The 20,871-nt window shown below is 39.7% G+C and overlaps 1 protein-coding gene across 14 annotated transcripts in view; it reads right to left on the bottom strand.

The window, feature by feature from the left end:
* RAB3IP (RAB3A interacting protein) overlaps nt 1-20,871 on the bottom strand; it is an 84,963-nt gene continuing 64,092 nt past the window's right edge. For 5 of the 14 annotated variants that reach the window (XM_006719226.4, NM_001024647.3, NM_001278402.1 and 2 more), the window contains 3 exons: nt 10,328-10,427; nt 10,172-10,241; nt 1-7,841 (listed from right to left, as the gene is read on the bottom strand). In XM_006719226.4, the coding sequence (XP_006719289.3) occupies nt 7,759-7,841; nt 10,172-10,241; nt 10,328-10,427 (253 nt within the window). In that variant the 3' untranslated portion in view covers nt 1-7,758. Of the gene's footprint in view, nt 7,842-10,171; nt 10,242-10,327; nt 10,428-20,871 lie in introns of those variants that run through there. The other 9 variants (NR_103519.2, NR_103520.2, NM_022456.5 and 6 more) reach the window with 3 other exon arrangements.

The raw sequence follows: 20,871 nt of genomic DNA, 5'->3' as shown, positions 1-20,871 counted from the left end.
TTAAACAGTGGGTGGGTCTTTTTTTTATTTTTTTAATTAACAAATAATAATTGCCCATATTCATGGGGTACACAATGATATTTCCATACATATAATGTGTAGTGATCAGATCAGGGTAATTAGCATATCCATCATCTCAAACACTTATCATTTCTTTATGTTGGAAACATTCAACAACTTCCTTCCAGCTATTAGCTATTTGAAACTACACATTATTGTTAACTACAGTCATCCTACAGTGGTACAGGATATATTAAACAATAAGTATATTTCTTAAAACATGAGCAATGGCTTGGAAGACAGCACAGGTACAGAGATTGTGTGCCTAGTATGGTGCGAGAGGAGATAGGAAAATAGGCTGAAGAAAGATGGTGGTAGTTTATTTCCAATTTTTATGGATACATAATAGTTGTACATATTTATGGGGTACATATGATATTTTGATACAAACATACAACGTATAATGATCAAATCAGGGTAATTGGGGTATCCATCACCTCAAACATTTATCATTTGTGTTGAGAACATTCCAAATCCACTCCTTTATTGTGAAATATACAATAAATTATTAACTGTATTTACCCTATTGTGCTACCAAACAACAGATCATATTCCTTCTATAGATTTTTACACCCATTACCCAACCCCTTTATCCTCCCACCCCCCAACCCCCATTACCCTTCCCAGCCTCTGCTATCCTGTTGTATTCACTACCTATAGTGGTAGATTCTGAATGTAATTTGATTCCATGCATATTCATTCTAAGTGTATCTATTGACAGTTTCTATCTGCTTGGGTGTGGGGCATGATACAATCCCATTTAACTCAGAGAGATCTCTGTGGCAGAATGTGTTGGCTGGGGCAATATCCAAAGTTTAAGCAGTTTAAGAAGCTACTGCAAAATCCAGGTAGGCTGTAGTAAAGCCTGAAGCACGCGATGTAAAACAAAGCAATGGTTACTGGCTGGATGTAGGGAGCAAGGATGAAGTCAAATGATTTTTTTTAAGGATTTATATGCCTTTAGATAAAATATGAATTAAGATGCCTAAAACATGTAGCCTCTGGCTAACCCTAGACTCCAAGAGAAGCTCCCAGCCAAGTCTCCTGGAGACCACCGGAAATGAGTCATCACACTATAATCCACTGCCAAGTAATGATTCTGGATCCCGTCCACCAATTCACCCACAGACTTCATGTTCTCAGCAGCACAGTGATGTGACAGGAAGCATCATAGAAATGAGATTTCATTTAATGGCCTGAGAAGCTAAGGTTAGAATTGGGGTTCCGAACTGAAATACTTCCAAGGCCCAGCAGATAAGTGAGTAAAGTGGGTCCCTTAGCCTTGGTGTCAGGGAGACAATCCAGGATGGTGGGCCATAGAGCAAACCATGGAGTGCATACCCTGAGCAAGGGTGTAGCCACCCGACAGGTGGAGTCACTCAGCTCCACCCAAGTGTTGTCATTCAAGACTGTGGGCTCAGTGTTGTCGAAACGGCACATTTTAAAAAAGAGCAGCTTGAAATGCAGATTTTAGATTTCCTCATTTTTAAATGCTGGCAATTGTTCAAAAACAAGATGGACAAACAGAAAAATAAACCAAAACACTGTGAAGGACAAATAGCACATTGTGTGAAAACACAATGGAGCCCACAAGATGCAACCCTGGTGCCGAGATCTGCGGAAAGTGAAGAGAATTGAGAAGGAAGTTGCTGGGAGGACTAGAAAATCTCTATTAATCAGAATCCAGAGCACTCCACTGAGAGCACAATCCAGCTGCTGGAAATAGGATTTAAGTGGAAATTCCTCCCTCTCAGTGAATAACAAATATGATGCGTATTTTCCTGATTATGGTCTTTACGTCTTACATTTTCCAACTCTCTTGATATCCCCATTTTGCAGAGTTTCGGTAGAGAATCATTCTCTTGAATAGTAATCTAATCTAGTTGTGATTTGGGTTTGCTTTGGTATTGACATTTCCTAGAGAGCTCCAACAGATACAGATAAAAGCTGAGCTGCTGCGGTTAAATCTGGGGATGTGGTGATGGGGGCCCTGTATCCCTCGAGACTGTCCCTGAGACCTGTAGCTCTAGAATCTAGTCCTCATGACCTCAGACGTTCCTCCAAAAGTAAACTGTGTGTGAACTTGTGCTCCCTTGAGAAGCTGCCTTTAGGAAGGGTTTCAATTCTTTTAATATTTTATCAAGTTTAGTCCTCTTCTACATTTTTTTTTTAAGTTTTGCAAATTTTCATGGAGTTTTTTAAAGCTTTCATTGTTATTTCTCTGTTAACAACTACCACTATGAAAACTTGATTTTCTATTGAGTTTGGGTTTTTTTTTTTTTTTTTCAGACGGAGTTTCACTCTTGTTGCCCAGGCTGGAGTGCAATGGCGTGATGTCAACTCACCACAACCTCTGCCTCCTGGGTTCGAGCGTTTCTCCTGACTCAGCCTCCCAAGTAGCTGGGATTACAGGCATGCGCCATCACACCTGACTAATTTTGTGTTTTTAGTAGAGACAGGGTTTCTCCATGTTGGCCAAGCAGGTCTCGAACTACCAACCTCAGGGGATCCGCCCGCCTCGGCCTCCCAAAGTGCTGGGATTACAGGCATGAGCCATCGCACCTGGCCAGTTTTTTTTTTTTTTTTTTTTTCTAAGTGCAATGGGAAGCCACTCAAAGGGCTTTAAGCAGGGAAGTGACATTATCTGATTTTCGTTTTATAAAGATCCCTGCGGCTGCCGTCAGTGATTGTAGGAGGGCAGGAGTGGATGCAAGGACAGCAGACATTAGTGCAGGAGTTCAGGTGAAAGATGATAATAGCTTGGGCAGAGTGGTAGCAGTGGACATGGAGGGAGGTAGACAGATTTAAGATGTCTCGGAGACAGCTGATGGAATTTGCTGATAACTGGAATGGGAGTGACAATGACAAATAAAGGAACCTAGAATAAGCCCCAGAATTTTGCTTAAGCAACTGAGAGTTCAGCCATGGCAGATCTGTTAAGCACAAAAGTTAAACACAAATACAAATTCATACTGCATTGGACTCTTTTAAGCAGTGTCTTATAGAAAAAACATTTTATCTAGGGAAAAATGCAACAACAAAAACCACTGAAAACAAAAGCCTATGAATAAAAGCAGACCCGTTTTAGACTGGATGCACAAAACAAAAACACACAGGATTCTTGTGGTGGCGATGGGAGTAAGTGAAGACGTAACAGGTTGCAAGTTATTTTAAGGACTAAGACCCAATGTTCAGAAACCAAATCTTGTTCTTCCAGTGTGGATGCTTAGTCAAAGACTGTAAATTGTCTTCAAGCTGAGAGAGACCATGAAGAGAGAGGAGTGGCCACCTAACTAACCTTCCCAGTTTTTGGGAGCCAAACCTAGACCAGAATGTAGGTCTAAGTGACTCCCAATCCAGAGCTGTCTCCATTAGGCCAGGCTCTCACCCCAGCTCCAAACCAACTTCTAAAAACTTGTCCAAGAGTCCTCCTCTTCTTTAGAATTGGTAATCTTGGCAATTAAATTCAGCGTAGAAACACTCTCCTGAACATAATCAGCATGCTGGTTCTTCCTTTTCTGTTGCCTTGCTCTTCCTAACAGCTCCTCCTTTCGTCTTTGCAGGCTGCTTCTCTGTCACAGGAACTCAGGGCTCAGTGCTGTACTTCATCTCCAAAGTGTCCCTAAAGCGCCCATCTGATCCCATGGCTAACTACTCCCCAAATTTTCTCCTGGACTGACCTTACTGAATTTAGATTTGTACATCCAATACCTGCTTAACATATCCACTTTGATGCTCAGTGGGCACCTCACACTTGATCTGTCAAACACTGAATTTCTGTCTCTGTTATGCACATACCCAAACTTTCCCCACCATGTATTTCCCCATCTCAATAAACTGCAATAGCTCAAGCCAAAAGCCTAAGATTCAGACCTGAATTCTTTCCTTTCCTCTCTCTCAAATGCAATTCAACAATTTTCTTACCTTTTATTTTTTGTTTTGGAATGAAGGCACATATAACTGAGCTAGTAATAATGCTTGATTCATAATACACCACCGATGTTCCATGCATAACTCTCTTATTCATTTGTCCATGCATTTATTTTGTTTTTGAATTTTTTTAAAGGGGGGCAAGGTCTACGTTGCCCAGGTTGGAATATAGTAGCTATTCACAGGTGAAATCATAGCACACTATAGCCTTGAACTGGCCTCAAGGATCTTCCTATCTCAGACTCCCAAGTAGCTGGGACTATAAGCACGCACCACTACACCCAGCTCATGTACTTACTTTTAATGACAAATGAACCACCCCAAAACCCACCACCTAACCCAGGGACTAAAACATTACCAGTGACTTACTCATAGATTTGCTCCTCCTCTACCTCTCCAGAGGTAACCACTATCTTGAACTTTATTACTTTTTAAAAGTTTTGTCACATATGTCAATGCCTAAACAGCTGTTCAGTTTTAGTTGTTCTTGACTTTTATAAGAAAAGTATCATGTCACATATAGTTTTCTCAGAATTGCTTTTTCATTCTGAGTTATTGTGCTGCAAGTAGCTGGTATTCATTCATTTTGCTGCCATGTAATAATCACCCATTCTGTGAACACATTACACCTTCCTAAAAATAGACATTTTAATTTATTCCAGAACATTCTTATATGTGTGATCTGGGGGACCTGTGCAAGCATTTCTCAAGTATATACTGAAAAGTGAAATTGCTGACCCATGGGTATACTTTTTTTTTTTTTTTAAGGTATGATCTTACTCTGTCACCCAAGGTAAGAGTGCAGTGGCACAATCATGATTCACTGCAGCCTCAACCTCCTGGGCTTAAGCAATCCTTCCACCTCAGCTTCCCAAGTAGCTGGGACCACAGGCATGCACCACCATGCCCAGCTAATTCAAAAAAATCTTTTTGTGCAGATGTGGTCTCCCTATGTTGCTCAAGCTGGTCTTGAACTCTTGGGCTCAAGTGATCCTCCTACCTTGGCCTCCCAAAGCCAAGAGGCATGAGCCACTGGGCCTGGCCCAACTTTTCTAGTGAATGGTTTTTCACAGTGGATATACCAATTGATACCCCCATCAGCAATATGTGAGTGATCCTAATGACTAAAACCCTCTCCAAAACTTGACTTTGTGTTTCTTCATTTTCACCAATCGAATGAATTTGAACATGTCATTGTCATCTTGATTTACGTTTTCCTGATTGAGAGATGAAAACCTCTTAATGTTTATTGGCCCACATGCACTTCTAATTGTGTGGAAGGCCTGGTTCAGTCTTTTGCCTGTTTTTCTGTGACACTGTCCTTTTTTGTTGGTTTGTAGAATTTCTGCATACATTCTTGATACTAAGCTATTACTAGTTATAAATGTTGCAGATATTGCCTCACAGTTTGTAGTTTAGCTTTAGTTTTTTTTTTAGAGACAAGGTCTCCCTATGTTGCCCAAGTTGGACTTGAACCCCTGGGCTCAAGCAATCCTCCCACCTCATCCTCCCAAGTTCATGGACACAGTGTGTGTGTGTGTGTGTGTGTGTGTGTGTGTGTAAATGGAGTTTCCCTATTTTTCCCAGGCCCGTCTCAAACTCCTGGGCTCAAGCAGCTCAAGTAATCCTTCTGCCTCTGCCTCCCAAAGTGCTGGGATTACAGGCATGAGCCACAATGCCTAACTACTGATGCACGATTTCTAAATTAAGAATTTATAATATACCATAACTTATATTCTTTTATGGTTATCTTTTATGGTTTTTTTTTTTCCTGCTTCCAGTTTAAGAAGTTCTTCCTAAAGGGAGTAGGATCAGGAAGATAATCACATTTTCTAAATATGTTTCAATCACATTTTAATCTATAATTCCACATATAGTTTCTACATCAAGTCGTCATCCTGTTGCATTAATTTTAAAGAGCATGCTTCTAGTGTATAAGGTTGAAAAGCATTCTTCCCCTTATAGATTACTAAAGATTTATTATTAATGGGTATACTGATTTTCTTTAGTCTTACTTTTTATTTATCCTTTTTAAGTCATCAACAAACTTTTTCTGAGTATTTGATTACCTTTCTTTCAAACCGTACAGTATCTCCTGGATTTGTTTCTCTTTTTATTTAGGTACTTTCTCCAAAAGTGATTTTAGTTTGTACGGAAAATCTTCTGAAGCTTTGATGGTACATATTCTTATTAATGCCCTCACATTAGAATAACTATTTTCAGAACATAAAATTGTAGGTTCAAAGTTTTTTTCAGGTTCAATTTCACATTCTTGAGCTAGGCATGGTACTGATGGTTTTCACCATAACATACACCAATGTCCTTTTGTCTGTGGGCTCCCATCCAGCCTGGTGGCTGAAGTCATCTACAGGTAAGATTGACCAAACCTCTGAACAGGACTGAAAAAAATGTTATCTTCAGAAAACCAGCCCTCTTGTACACTGCTGCTGTGAATACAAATTGATTAACTTTTCTGGATGGCAATCTAGCAATGCAGATCAAACATTTAAAAATACATATATATCTCGACACAATTTTATCTCCAGGCATCCACATGAAAGAACTCCACAATGTTCAGAAGTGTACAGATAAGGATACTCGTCACAGCATTATAATATGAAAAATAAACTGAAAACCACCTCATCTCCAAACACAATTAAATTATGTTAAAATTCTATAAACAGGGATTAGGATGTGTAGGTTTACCCAAGGGAAAATATATTTAATGTTTAGGTTTAAAAAGCAAAAAAAAAGCCTACTTTTTGTTTCAAAAATATGCATATGTAAGTAGAAAATATCTGAAAGCTGAAAGGCTACTATCCAAAAATATTAACAGCAGCTTTCTCTAAACAGAAACTAAAGCAGTTTCTCTTTTCTTTTTGCTTTTCTATACTTATTACATGTCTACCACAAACCTCTTTGTTATAATTTCTCCAGTTGAGTCAGTTTTACAATTTGGAATGCAGAGATCAAGTGGTTCTATAATCAGCATATACTTCGCACGTACCATTCATTCAATCCACACCCCTTTAAACCCCTTTGACACACGTCAAACTCATTTACATCTATGTCCCTCCAATGACAATATAGTGGTCAACACATATAAAACATGAATACACTATATCAAGACACTCAGGAATACATCTCTGGGATAAAATCTGACTGCCTTCTATTATATTTTAATGAATAACCAAAATAAAGGGATTCTTTCAGTTACAGAGAGCAGAATAATTAAAATAGTAACTTTCAAACTTTGTAGCAGCAGAAGTATTTCTTCAAATAAAATCTTTTTTGAAACCCAATATAGAAAACAGATAAAAATAAAGCCATTCTAGAGGTGGGGGCCTTGGAAAGTGAGTACTATCCACTCAGACTTCTTTCTTGCCTCTCACAAGGAAGGAAGCTACTGTGTAGTTTGAAAATTACTATTTAATACATTCTGCTAACCCTAAATGCCATGTCAGAGCTAGAAGAGAAAATGTACACACATTCAATCTAACATTTATTTATTTCAGGTTTTTTTTTTTTTTGGCAACTATAAATTACATTCACTAGTACACCTGGAATTCTTCATAGTGTGTTCAACTAAAGAATAAGCAAACACAGCATAGATCAGTTTAAAAGAAATCATGGTACTTCTTAGAGCAATTTGCAAAAGGGGAAAAAAGTCTTAGGCTCACTCCTTGGAAATAAATATCAAGTAACCATAAAAATATTCAGCCATTTTTCAGTTATTCGGGGAGTTCAGGCATGGTCCCACGCAGAGCATCAGAGTTCCTCTTTGAAATAACCCAGCTTTGCCAATGACATCTCTTTTCTCAACTGCATAACCTCCCAAAACATCTGATCAACTATACAAACAGAAAAGAGAGATATTTAAATCATAAAATACCATCTTCATTATTTTTAATGTTTCGCTGAAAACCTTAGCTGAAATGTCAATTGTGCATTTCCTAAAGATGTACCTACATTTTTTCAATAATTCACATAAACTTTTCCACAGACTTGTGACCATCCCAGTTTTATCAATAAAGCAAAAGTCACCAGTTTTGTCACAATTATTTGTTAAATACATCAGAGACTATCATTTTAGCCCAAGAAAAGGTAGACATTCAGCATCCTGAGTAAATGTCAATGCTGTTACCTTCATTAAGTGAATATACTCAATACTCAATTATTCGAGCTATTCTCTAACTTACGAATCTTCTTGCTCTAGTTTGTTATATCGCGGCCATTTTACTCTTCATTAACACTACCAGAGGGTGAAGGGCAAAAAAAGAAAACAAGACAATCCAGAAAACTCAGTAACGTTGTGAGAAGTAACAGAAAGGTTTTGTGTATGGCTCAAATTAGAAATAAAAATGCATGTGGAAGATGAATTGTAAATTCAATTACCTATACTTTTGTAAGTTCCCACTGTAAGTGGAAAAACGTTGGCTCCTTATTTCAGACAATAAAAGGTCTTCGTTTGATATATGATCAGATTATATTCATTTAGATCAATGGTTCTCAATCAGGGAAGATTCCACCACTACCACCACCACCACTCCTCATTCCCTGGCCACTCCAGGGTACGTTTGGCAATGAATAGAAACATTTTTCACTGTCCCATCTCGGGGGTGCTACAGGTATCTAATGAGTAAAAGCTAGGGATGCTATTAAACATCTTACAAATGCACAAGACCGTCCCCCACAACAAAGAATTATCCAGCTCAAAATGTCACTAGTACCAAGGTCGAGAAATTCTGCTTTAGATTTAGCTGCCCTAAATCCTTTGTTGGCACAAGGCACATATAATAAACAGATTTTAAGACTAATACCTGTTTACAACAAACACACATACTAAATGATATGTACTAAATATCATAAAGTGGAAGAGTGACAGAAACCAGAGAAGATATACTACTTTTATTATCAACACCCTCACCATTCATTACTCGTAACACTTTCTTCCTATTTTCATAAAGTAAATTATCTTTCTGTCTTTCCAAGCTTCTTATTTAAACAAACAGAAAAATATTATATTCTTGGCAATTATACTTAACATAAATTTTCTGTTCTCTGGCTTAAATTATATTATCCATCAACAGGTATTCAAAAAGAATTCAGTTTTATTAAAGTCAAAAAAAGTATTACACAGTTTAAAGACTGTTTTTATGTTATTAGGCCTTTTGAAATTCAACATTAATTAGGTTATCAGGTTATTAGGTTAACAGGTTTTATCTCTAATGTTTTAGGCATTAAAATCCAACTATATGGGATTTTAAAGAAATATGACATTTTTCAACATACCAGACCTTGAGAAAGGCTAAACTAAGTTTTTATCAGCGTGACTAACTTCTCCATAGAATTAAGATTCACTGCTTTACATGATTGAAAGATGGTAGGCTTCTACCAGTGTTTAAGCAAGATAATATTTTCAGTGCCTAAAAAATATAAACAGGGAAATTTTGTAAAACTTTAAATACTAACTGGCACAGACTTGTCCCTAGCCTAGTATCTGCTATTTTTTTTTTTAAACTATCATTTGTGCTCGAGAGATACTGCTTTGGAGCTGTCAGGCCATATTAGTTTTCATGCCTGATATTTAAGATATTTAGCTATAAAATTGTATTAAAAATATTAACACACTTTCATGAGGTTGGTTCTCCTGGATATATCACCTGCACATTTCTGCTGATTTAGAATATGGCAATCTTTATTCCATTCAGAATTATCCTCATGACTGCTTTATTAATTCACACGCAAAAAGTAGAAAATACAGGGAAAACTTAATTTTGAGCTCCATGATGGTTTCCATCAATTAAAATAAATCTGACCACTTTGCTGGCCTACTCATTTTCATCTCTTAAAGAGTCAATTCAATGAGCTTAGAACTCTCTTCTCATTTACCATCTGGTTTATCATATACCCCTTATGAGTTAAAACTGACCCTGCTTAAAATTCAAAATTAAGAGTAAAATGAGGCAAATAAAATAATTAAACACAATATTTTTCTAAAAGACATTTGTTCCCAAATTCTCCACAAATTTTATTAGAACTATAGAAGGGATTCAATATAAATGTACCAACAATAAAGCTGATATGAGCATTACTACTATTCTATACTTTTTGTTGAACTTTACTTATACTTTTTGCTGAACTTTTATGTAAAGACTTATATTGAATCAAGAACACTCACCATCCTGCTGTTTCACGAGTCCCTGCTGAATGTATCGAATGTATGTAAAAAAGTTACATACAGAAGTGATCTAGGCCAAATGGAGAAAATGTCATGAATGGTCAAATGTCCCATATCAAAGCAAGCTTTATTAAAATTCATGGTTAAGTCACTTACCCTGTATCTGCAAAAAGGAGAAATATAATAATAGTTGCTTGAGTCCCCTAATTTAATTCTGTGTTTACAGGACTTACTCTGGCCAGTGAGAGCACATTTTCTGTGAAATAATGATAAATTTCAGTTTTTTGAAATGAAAAGCATTTGCCCCTACCTTCTGTACAAGTTGCCTATTCATTCAGTTAGATAACAAATATTTGAGAACCTACTGTGTACCAGGCACCGTTCTAGATGCTGGGCTAAAGTGATGAAAAGGACAAAGTCTCTGCCCTTGTGAGACTTACATTCTATTAGTAGTATAAGTTTAATGCCATAACATTAACCATGATTCTAGAAACAGAAACTAGGTGTTTTCCATGTATGTCCCATCTTGGAACAAATTTACAAATCAGTAATCAGCTGCAGGACAGCTCTCAGCTTTCCATCAGGATTTCAGCTTCTCAGCTGAAAATATCCTCATGATGACTGTTCAAGTCTCAAAGCATGTTATTGATAGCTTGCAGGGTAATAGTTTCCAGATGGGGTATTTGTTTATTTGGTTGGTTGGTTGCTCTATATGCATTTAATGTGGGACCTAGGGAGAAGTACAAAGGAATAAGCCACCTTATAAAAATACTGAATCTTAACAATCATGTAACAAGTTCACTGAATTTCACATGATCCTTTCTATTTGCATATGACAAAAGCTAAAATTTTATATGAGGGCTTTCTGGCTGGGATTAGGCTATCAACCTCTTGAGGGCAGGGACTTTGATTCATCTTTAAATGCCTGGCACACAGCACACATTCAATGACTGCTGAATAAGTAATGAGCCATCTGTTACCCTATGGCTCCATGAGATAAAGCTAGCATGTCTATCAGGCCGGACTTGCAGCAGCCCAGCTGTCACCCTAAGCTAGGAACCTGGCTCAATACAACTATCACTCCCCATCAATGCAAAATTAGCATAGCTCTAAGTAAGTGGCAAACAGCATTTTATATGACAGTATAAATTATATAGTAAATATATTAAATAACATTACATTTTAGCGATACAAGAAATATAATACAAAAGTGCCTTTGTATTAAGAAAACACACAACAATGTGTATTTGAAACAGGATAATTTTTGAGGAGGGGGCAATTCAAATCACAAATCAATTCCTGTCTTTTTTCAAATAGATATTTCTTCATTGTTTCTTTATTAGCAAATTCCTTTAATGATCTGTAACAATATTTAAAAGCACTAACTACTAGCTTGGGGAGGATAGAAGATACAGAAATTTAAAGCACAAAGTGTTGGAAGTCTGTGGAACTTCCAAAAGTATAATTTGCATAAGAGGAAAATGTGCCATTAAGCTGCTAAAAACCAATTTATACACTATTCTTCTGGAAACAGACATATGCCTGCTGGTCTACTGTTTAGCCTAATTTTGAAAGGGATCTGGTAAGGTGGCTTTAAGTATCAACTTTTAAAATAATAAGTGTTTCTTTTTTTTAACTTGTAAGTTCAGGAGTACAACTGCAGGGTGTGCAGGTTTATTACATAGGTAAACATGTGTCATGCGGGTTTGTTGTATATATTATTTCATCACCCTGGGTGATTCAGGAAGAATAAGTATCCATTATTCTTCCTGATCTTCTCCCTCTTCCCATCCTCCACCCTTCCACAAGCGGCAGTGTGTGTTGTTCCCTTCTATGTGTCCATGTGTTCTCATCATTTAGCTCCCACTTATAAGGGAGAACAGGCAGCATGTGGTTTTCTGCTCCTACATTAGGTTGCTAAGGATAACGGCCTCCAGCTCCAGCCATGTCCCTGCAAAGGACATGATCTCATTCTTTTTTATGGCTGTATAGTATTCCATGGTGTATAGCGTTTCTTAAAAGATCTCATTTCTAAGCTATTTTGTAAACTGGACACACCTAATGTATTTTTAGTTAAGCCAGGATTCAATGCAAACAGACCTCTGACCTCCAACTCCATTTTTTTCCCAAACATGCTACACTACATTAATAAATCTCTATAACTCTAGTCCCAAGATTTCAAATCCTTGTTTCCCATTTTCATGTGAGGATGTCAATATGTCTAAATCTAGACCGTAATCCTCTTCCACAAATCAAAGCCTTTTCCATTAATTTCCACAATCACTTCAAATCAGTCTTCCAGTCAGATATCTCTAACTCCTTTCTCCTTTACCCATCCCCCCACCCCAATCTAACTTTTCTTTCTTAAAATGTCACATCTTCCCTTTCCTCTCCATACACTGACCATCCTTTGAACGCACTTTGATTTGTTTCTAGGCCTTCAGTTGTTATGTATTGCTCTTTATCCAAATTACCCTTATGCTTCAAAAACCTAAACCAGTTTTTATTTCTGGAGGGTGGAGCCAAGATGGCCGAATAGGAACAGCTCCAGTCTACAGCTCCCAGCGTGAGCCACACAGAAGACGGGTGATTTCTGCATTTCCAGCTAAGCTTTGAAGAGAGCAGTGGTTCTCCCAGCACGCAGCTTGAGATCTGAGAACAGGCAGACTGCCTCCTCAAGTGGCTCCCTGACCCCCGAGTAGCCTAACTGGGAGGCACCCCCCAGTAGGGGCGGACTGACACCTCACACTGCCGGGTACTCCTCTGAGACAAAACTTCCAGAGGAACGATCAGGCAGCAGCATTTGCGGTTCAGCACTATCTGCTGTTCTGCAGCCACCACTGCTGATACCTAGGCAAACAGGGTCCGGAGTGGACCTCCAGTAAACTCCAACAGACCTGCAGCTGAGGGTCCTGACTGTTAGAAGGAAAACTAACAAACAGAAAGGACATCTGCACCAAAAACCCATCTGTACGTCACCATCATCAAAGAACAAAGGTAGATAAAACCACAAAGATGGGGAAAAAACAGAGCAGAAAAACCGGAAACTCTAAAAATCAGAGCGCCTCTCCTCCTCCAAAGGAACGCAGCTCCTCACCAGCAACGGAACAAAGCTGGATGGAGAATGACTTTGACGAGTTGAGAGAGAAAGGCTTCAGAAGATCAAACTCTCTGAGCTAAAGGAGGAAGTTCGAACCAATGGCAAAGAAGTTAAAAACCTTGAAAAAAATTAGACGAATGGATAACTAGAATAACCCATGCAGAGAAGTCCTTAAAGGACCTGATGGAGCTGAAAACCATGGCATGAGAACTACGTGACGAATGCACAAGCCTCAGTAACCGATGCAATCAACTGGAAGAAAGGGTATCAGTGATGGAAGACAAAATGAATGAAATGAAGCGTGAAGAGAAGTTTAGAGAAAAAAGAATAAAAAGAAATGAACAAAGCCTGCAAGAAATATGGGACTATGTGAAAAGACCAAATTTACGTCTGATTGGTGTACCTGAAAGTGACGGGGAGAATGGAACCAAGTTGGAAAACACTCTGCAGGATATTATCCAGGAGAACTTCCCCAATCTAGCAAGGCAGGCCAACATTCAAATTCAGGAAATACAGAGAATGCTACAAAGATACTCCTCGAGCAGAGCAACTCCAAGACACATAATTGTCAGATTCACCAAAGTTGAAATAAAGGAAAAAATGTTAAGGGCAGCCAGAGAGAAAGGTCGGGTTACCCACAAAGGGAAGCCCATCAGACTAACAGCTGATCTCTCGGCAGAAACTCTAGAAGCCAGAAGAGAGTGAGGGCCAATATTCAACATTCTTAAAGAAAATAATTTTCAACCCAGAATTTCATATCCAGCCAAACTAAGCTTCATAAGTGAAGGAGAAATAAAATACTTTACAGACAAGCAAATGCTGAGAGATTTTGTCACCACCAGGCCTGCCCTAAAAGAGCTCCTGAAGGAAGCACTAAACATGGAAAGGAACAACCGGTACCAGCCACTGCAAAAACATGCCAAATTGTAAAGACCATCAAGGCTAGGAAGAAACTGCATCAACTAATGAGCAAAATAACCAGCTAACATCATAATGACAGGATCAAATTCACACATAACAATATTAACCTTAAATGTAAATGGGCTAAATGCTCCAATTAAAAGACACAGACTGGCAAATTGGATAAAGAGTCAAGACCCATCAGTATGCTGTATTCAGGAAACCCATCTCATGTGCAGAAACACACATAGGCTCAAAATAAAGGGATGGAGGAAGATCTACCAAGCAAATGGAAAACAAAAAAAGGCAGGGGTTGTAATCCTAGTCTCGGATAAAACAGACTTTAAACCAACAAAGATCAAAAGAGACAAGACCATTACATAATGGTAAAGGGATCAATTCAACAAGAAGAACTAACTATCCTAAATATATATGCACCCAATACAGGAGCACCCAGATTCATAAAGCAAGTCCTTAGTGACCTACAAAGAGACTTAGACTCCCAAACAATAATAATGGGAGACTTTAACACCCCACTGTCAACAACCCCACTGTGTCAACACAGATCAACGAGACAGAAAGTTAACAAAGATATCCAGGAATTGAACTCAGCTCTGCACCAAGCAGACCTAATAGACATCTACAGAACTCTCCACCCCAAATCAACAGAATATACATTCTTTTCAGCACCACACCACACCTATTCCAAAGTTGACCACATAGTTGGAAGTAAAGCACACCTCAGCAAATGTAAAAGAACAGAAATTATAACAAACTGTCTCTCAGACCACAGTGCAATCAAACTAGAACTCAGGATTAAGAAACTCACTCACAACTGCTCAACTACATGGAAACTGAACTACCTGCTCCTGAATGACTACTGGGTACATAACAAAATGAAGGCAGAAATAAAGATGTTCTTTGAAACCAACGAGAACAAAGACACAACATACCAGAATCTCTGGGACGCATTCAAAGCAGTGTGTAGAGGGAAATTTATAGCACTAAATGCCCACAAGAGAAAGCAGGAAAGATCTAAAATTGACACCCTAACATCACAATTGAAAGAACTAGAGATCTGCCTGGCCAACCCGTCTGGGAGGTGAGGAGCGCCTCCGCCCGGCCGCCCCATCTGGGAGGTGAGGAGCGTCTCCGCCCGGCCGCCCCGTCTGGGAGGTGAGGAGCGCCTCCGCACGGCCGCCCCGTCTGGGAGGTGAGGAGCGCCTCTGCCTGGCTGCCCATCATCTGGGAGGTGAGGAGCGCCTCTGCCCAGCCGCCCCATCTGGGAAGTGAGCACCTCTGCCCGGCCGCCCCATCTAGGAAGTGAGGAGCGCCTCTGCCCGGCCGCCCATCGTCTGGGATGTGAGGAGCACCTCTGCCCGGCCACCCTTCGTCTGGGAGGTAAGGAGCGCCTCTGCCCGGCCGCCCCATCTAGGAAGCGAGCGCCTCTGTCCGGCCGCCCTGTCTGAGAGGTGAGGAGCGTCTCTGCCCAGCCACCCTGTCTGGGAGGTGAGGAGTGCCTCTGCCCGGCCGCCCGTCGTCTGGGAAGTGAGGAGCGCCTCTGCCCAGCCGTCCTGTCTGGGATGTGAGGAGCGCCTCCGCCCGGCCGCCCCGTCTGGGAGGTGAGGGGCGCCTCTTCCCGGCCGCCCCGTCAGGGAGGTGGGAAGCGCCTCTGCCCTGCCGCCCTGTCTGGGAGGTGAAGAGCGCCTCTGCCCGGCCGCCCCGTCTGGGAGGTGAGGAGCGCCTCTGCCCGGCTGCCCCGTCTGGGAGGTGAGGAGCGCCTCTGCACGGCTGCCCCGTCTGAGAGGTGAGGAGAGCCTCTGCCTGGCCGCCCACTGTCTGGGATGTGAGGAGCTCCTCTGCCCGGCCACCCCGTCTGGGAAGTGAGGAGCACCTCTGCCCGGCCGCCCCGTCTGGGAGGTGTACCCAACAGCTCCGAAGAGACAGCGACCGTCGAGAACAGGCCATGATGACGATGGCGGTTTTGTTGAAAAGAAAAGGGGGAAATGTGGGGAAAAGAAAGAGAGATCAGATTGTTACTGTGTCTGTCTAGAAAGAAGTAGACATAGGAGACTCCATTTTGTTCTGGACTAAGAAAAATTCTTCTGCCTTGGGATGCTGTTAATCTATAACCTTACCCCCAACCCCGTGCTCTCTGAAACATGTGCTGTGTCAACTCAGGGTTAAATGGATTAAGGGCAGTGCAAGATGTGCTTTGTTAAACAGATGCTTAAAGGCTGCATGCTCATTAAGAGTCATCACCACTCCCTAATCTCAAGTACCCAGGGACACAAACACTGCGGAAGGCCACAGGGACCTCTGTCTAGGAAAACCAGAGACCTTTGTTCACGTGTTTATCTGCTGACCATCTCTCCACTATTATCCTATGACACTGCCACATACCCCCTCCAAGAAACACCCAAGAATGATCAATAAATACTAAAAAAAAAAAAAAAAAAAAAACTAGAGAAGCAAGAGCAAACACATTCAAAAGCTAGCAGAAGGCAAGAAATAACTAAGATCAGAGCAGAACTGAAGGAAATAGAGACGCAAAAAACCCTTCAAAAAAATCAATGAATCCAGGAGCTGGTTTTTTGAAAAGATCAACAAAACTGATAGACCGCTAGCAAGACTAATAAAGAAGAAAAGAGAGAAGAATCAAATAGGTGCAATAAAAAATGATAAAGGGGATATCACCACTGCTCCCACAGAAATACAAACTACCATCAGAGAATACTATAAACACCTCTATGCAAATAAACTAGAAAATCTAGAAGAAATGGATAAATTCCTCGACACATACACTCTCCCAAGACTAAACCAGGAAGAAGTTGAATCTCTGAATAGACCAATAACAGGATCTGAAATTGAGGCAATAATTAATAGCTTACCAACCAAAAAAAGTCCAGACCAGATGGATTCACAGCCGAATTCTACCAGAGGCACAAGGAGGAGCTGGTACCATTCCTTCTGAAACTATTCCAATAAATAGAAAAAGAGGGAATCCTCCCTAACACATTTTATGAGGCCAGCATCATCCTGATACCAAAGCCGGGCAGAGACATAACAAAAAAAGAGAATTTTAGACCAATATCCTTGATGAACATTGATGCAAAAATCCTCAATAAAATACTGGCAAACCGAATCCAGCAACACATCAAAAAGCTTATCCACCATGATCAAGTGGGCTTCATCCCTGGGATGCAAGGCTGGTTCAACATAAGAAAATCAATAAACGTAATCCAGCATATAAACAGAACCAAAGACAAAAACCACATGATTATCTCAATAGATGCAGAAAAGGCCTTTGACAAAATTCAACAACCCTTCATGCTAAAAACTCTCAATAAATTAGGTATTGATGGGACGTATTTCAAAATAATAAGAGCTATCTATGACAAACCCACAGCCAATATCATACTGAATGGACAAAAACTGGAAGCATTCCCTTTGAAAACTGGCACAAGACAGGGATGCCCTCTCTCACCACTCCTATTCAACATAGTGTTGGAAGTTCTGGCCAGGGCAATCAGGCAGGAGAAGGGAATAAAGGGCATTCAACTAGGAAAAGAGGAAGTCAAATTGTCCCAATTTGCAGATGACATGATTGTACACATAGAAAACCCCATCGTCTCAGCCCAAAATCTCCTTAAGCTGATAAGCAACTTCAGCAAAGTCTCAGGATACAAAATCAATGTACAAAAATCACAAGCATTCTTATACACCAATAACAGACAAACAGAGAGCCAAATCATGAGTGAACTCCCATTCACAACTGCTTCAAAGAGAATAAAATACCTAGGAATCCAATTTACAAGGGATGTGAAGGACCTCTTCAAGGAGAACTACAAACCACTGCTCAATGAAATAAAAGAGGATACAAACAAATGGAAGAACATTCAATGCTCATGGGTAGGAAGACTCAATATTGTGAAAATGGCCATACTGCCCAAGGTAATTTATAGATTCAATGCCATCCCCATCAAGCTACCAACAACTTTCTTCACAGAATTGGAAAAAACTACTTTAAAGTTCATATGGAACCAAAAAAGAGCCTACATTGCCAAGTCAATCCTAAGCCAAAAGAACAAAGCTGGAGGCATCACGCTACCTGACTTCAAACTATACTACAAGGCTACAGTAAACAAAACAGCATGGTACTGGTACCAAAACAGAGATATAGACCAATGGAACAGAACAGAGCCCTCAGAAATAATGCCGCATATCTACAACTATCTGATCTTTGACAAACCTGACAAAAACAAGCAATGGGGAAAGGATTCCCTATTTAATAAATGGTGCTGGGAAAACTGGCTAGCCATATGTAGAAAGCTGAAACTGGATCCCTTCCTTACACCTTATACAAAAATTAATTCAAGATGGATTAAAGACTTAAATGTTAGACCTAAAACTATAAAAACCCTAGAAGAAAACCTACGCAATACCATTCAGGACATAGGCATGGACAAGGACTTCATGTCTAAAACACCAAAAGCAATGGCAACAAAAGCCAAAATTGACAAATGGGATCTAATTAAACTAAAGAGCTTCTGCACAACAAAAGAAACCACCATCAGAGTGAACAGGCAACCTACAGAATGGGAGAAAATTTTTGCAACCTACTCATCTGACAAAGGGCTAGTATCCAGAATCTACAATGAACTCAAACAAATTTACAAGAAAAAAACAACCCCATCAAAAAGTGGGCAAAGGATATGAACAGACATTTGTCAAAAGAAGACATTTATGTAGCCAAAACACACATGAAAAAATGCTCATCATCACTGGCCATCAGAGAAATGCAAATCAAAACCAAAATGAGATACCATCTCACACCAGTTAGAATGGCGATCATTAAACAGTCAGGAAACAACAGGTGCTGGAGAGGATGTAGAGAAATAGGAACACTTTTACACTGTTGGTGGGACTGTAAACTAGTTCAACCATTGTGGAAGTCAGTGTGGCGATTCCTCAGGGATCTAGAACTAGAAATACCATTTGACCCAGCCATCCCATTACTGGGTATATACCCAAAGGACTATAAATCATGCTGCTATAAAGACACATGCACATGTATGTTTATTGCGGCACTATTCGCAATAGCAAAGACTTGGAACCAACCCAAATGTCCAACAATGACAGACTGGATTAAGAAAATGTGGCACATATACACCATGGAATACTATGTAGCCATAAAAAATGATGAGTTCATGTCCTTTGTAGGGACATGGATGAAGCTGGAAACCATCATTCTCAGCAAACTATCGCAAGGACAAAAAAACCAAACACCGCACATTCTCACTCATAGGTGGGAACTGAACAATGAGAACATATGGACACAGGAAGGGGAACATCACACACCGGGGACTGTTGTGGGGTTGGGGGAGTGGGGAGGGATAGCATTAGGAGATATACCTAATGCTAAATGATGAGTTAATGGGTGCAGCACACCAACATGGCCCATGTATACATATGTAACAAACCTGCATGTTGTGCACATGTACCTTAAAACTTAAAGTATAATAATAATAATAAAAAAATTAAAAAAAAAACTTAAACCAAATCTCTCTTCCTTCAAGAAGAGTACCTAATCATAGTTTGAATGATCTTGTCTTCCTCAAAATTCCTACAGTGCTGTGCCACTCACTTAGTCATTATCTTCACACTCTAGCTCACAAGAACCACGGCCAAAGCCACACTTCACATTTCATAAAGGAAGACAGTATCTTCCTTTAGTTTTTTCCACGATATGCATCACCTTGGTTTCTGGCCCCATTCCCACAAGCACAATATCCTTAAACTTTGTAAACTGTTCTCTAAATCTAAACTATAATTATTTTACTAAAGATACTATAAATCCACTTTAATTTGATATCCCCATTTGTTATCATTTGATGATATCTGCACATATATATGTGATATATAATGCAAGCACAAATTTTAAATTCTACAATAAAAACAGTTATATGCTATATTTAAAATGAGGCATGACACAGACCTTAAAAATAAGAAAACTGCTATGATTAAATTTAACTCTCCATATTTGGGGTGGAAGGATCAGAACAAAAATACTTGGGTATTTGTAGAATTTAAGAATGTAAATTCTTTCCCTAAAATTCAGAGGCCACCGTGCTACACGTGTGGCTTGAGGGAGCGAGGTGGACGTGTGGCTCACAGAGCAAACATATGACTAGGAACCCTCCAACAAATGGTCACCTAAACAACAACATTCTGTAATCTTGCTGAGACCGTAACGTGCGTAACAGGGAATAGAAACAAGCACACAATTCCTACAACAGCTTTAACACAGACCTATTAGTTCATCTCAACCAGTCTTTTCCTCTTCTGGCTTCAAAATAACCCTGACAGCAGTCAGTTATGCTTTCTATGAGCTCTCTCAGTCTTTCCAGTCCCCTATATTGATCTGGCTCTAAGCACTTAATAAGCATCTTTCTCAAAAGCTTTCCAAGTCATTTTTTAAACAGAAGCCAAGACACAATTATGCCACGGTTTTAGGCAAAACCTTTCGTCTTTGCTAGATGTTTTAAGCACTGTTGGTTTCAGTCATTCCTCCTTATAGGACTGGATGGAAAACAAGTCTGCCCTGCTATGAAATGTGGGAGTCTTATCTCTGAAGATTTGTAATTCTCAAGTAAGACTCACATATGAAAGACAAAACTGATTATTTATTTAAGTGAGA

The sequence above is a fragment of the Homo sapiens genome, chromosome 12 (genome assembly GCF_000001405.40).
Source record: "Homo sapiens chromosome 12, GRCh38.p14 Primary Assembly".
Taxonomy (NCBI): Eukaryota; Metazoa; Chordata; class Mammalia; order Primates; family Hominidae; genus Homo; species Homo sapiens.
The sequence above is the reverse complement of the archived record's forward strand: the minus strand, read 5'-3'. Positions and strand labels throughout refer to the sequence as shown.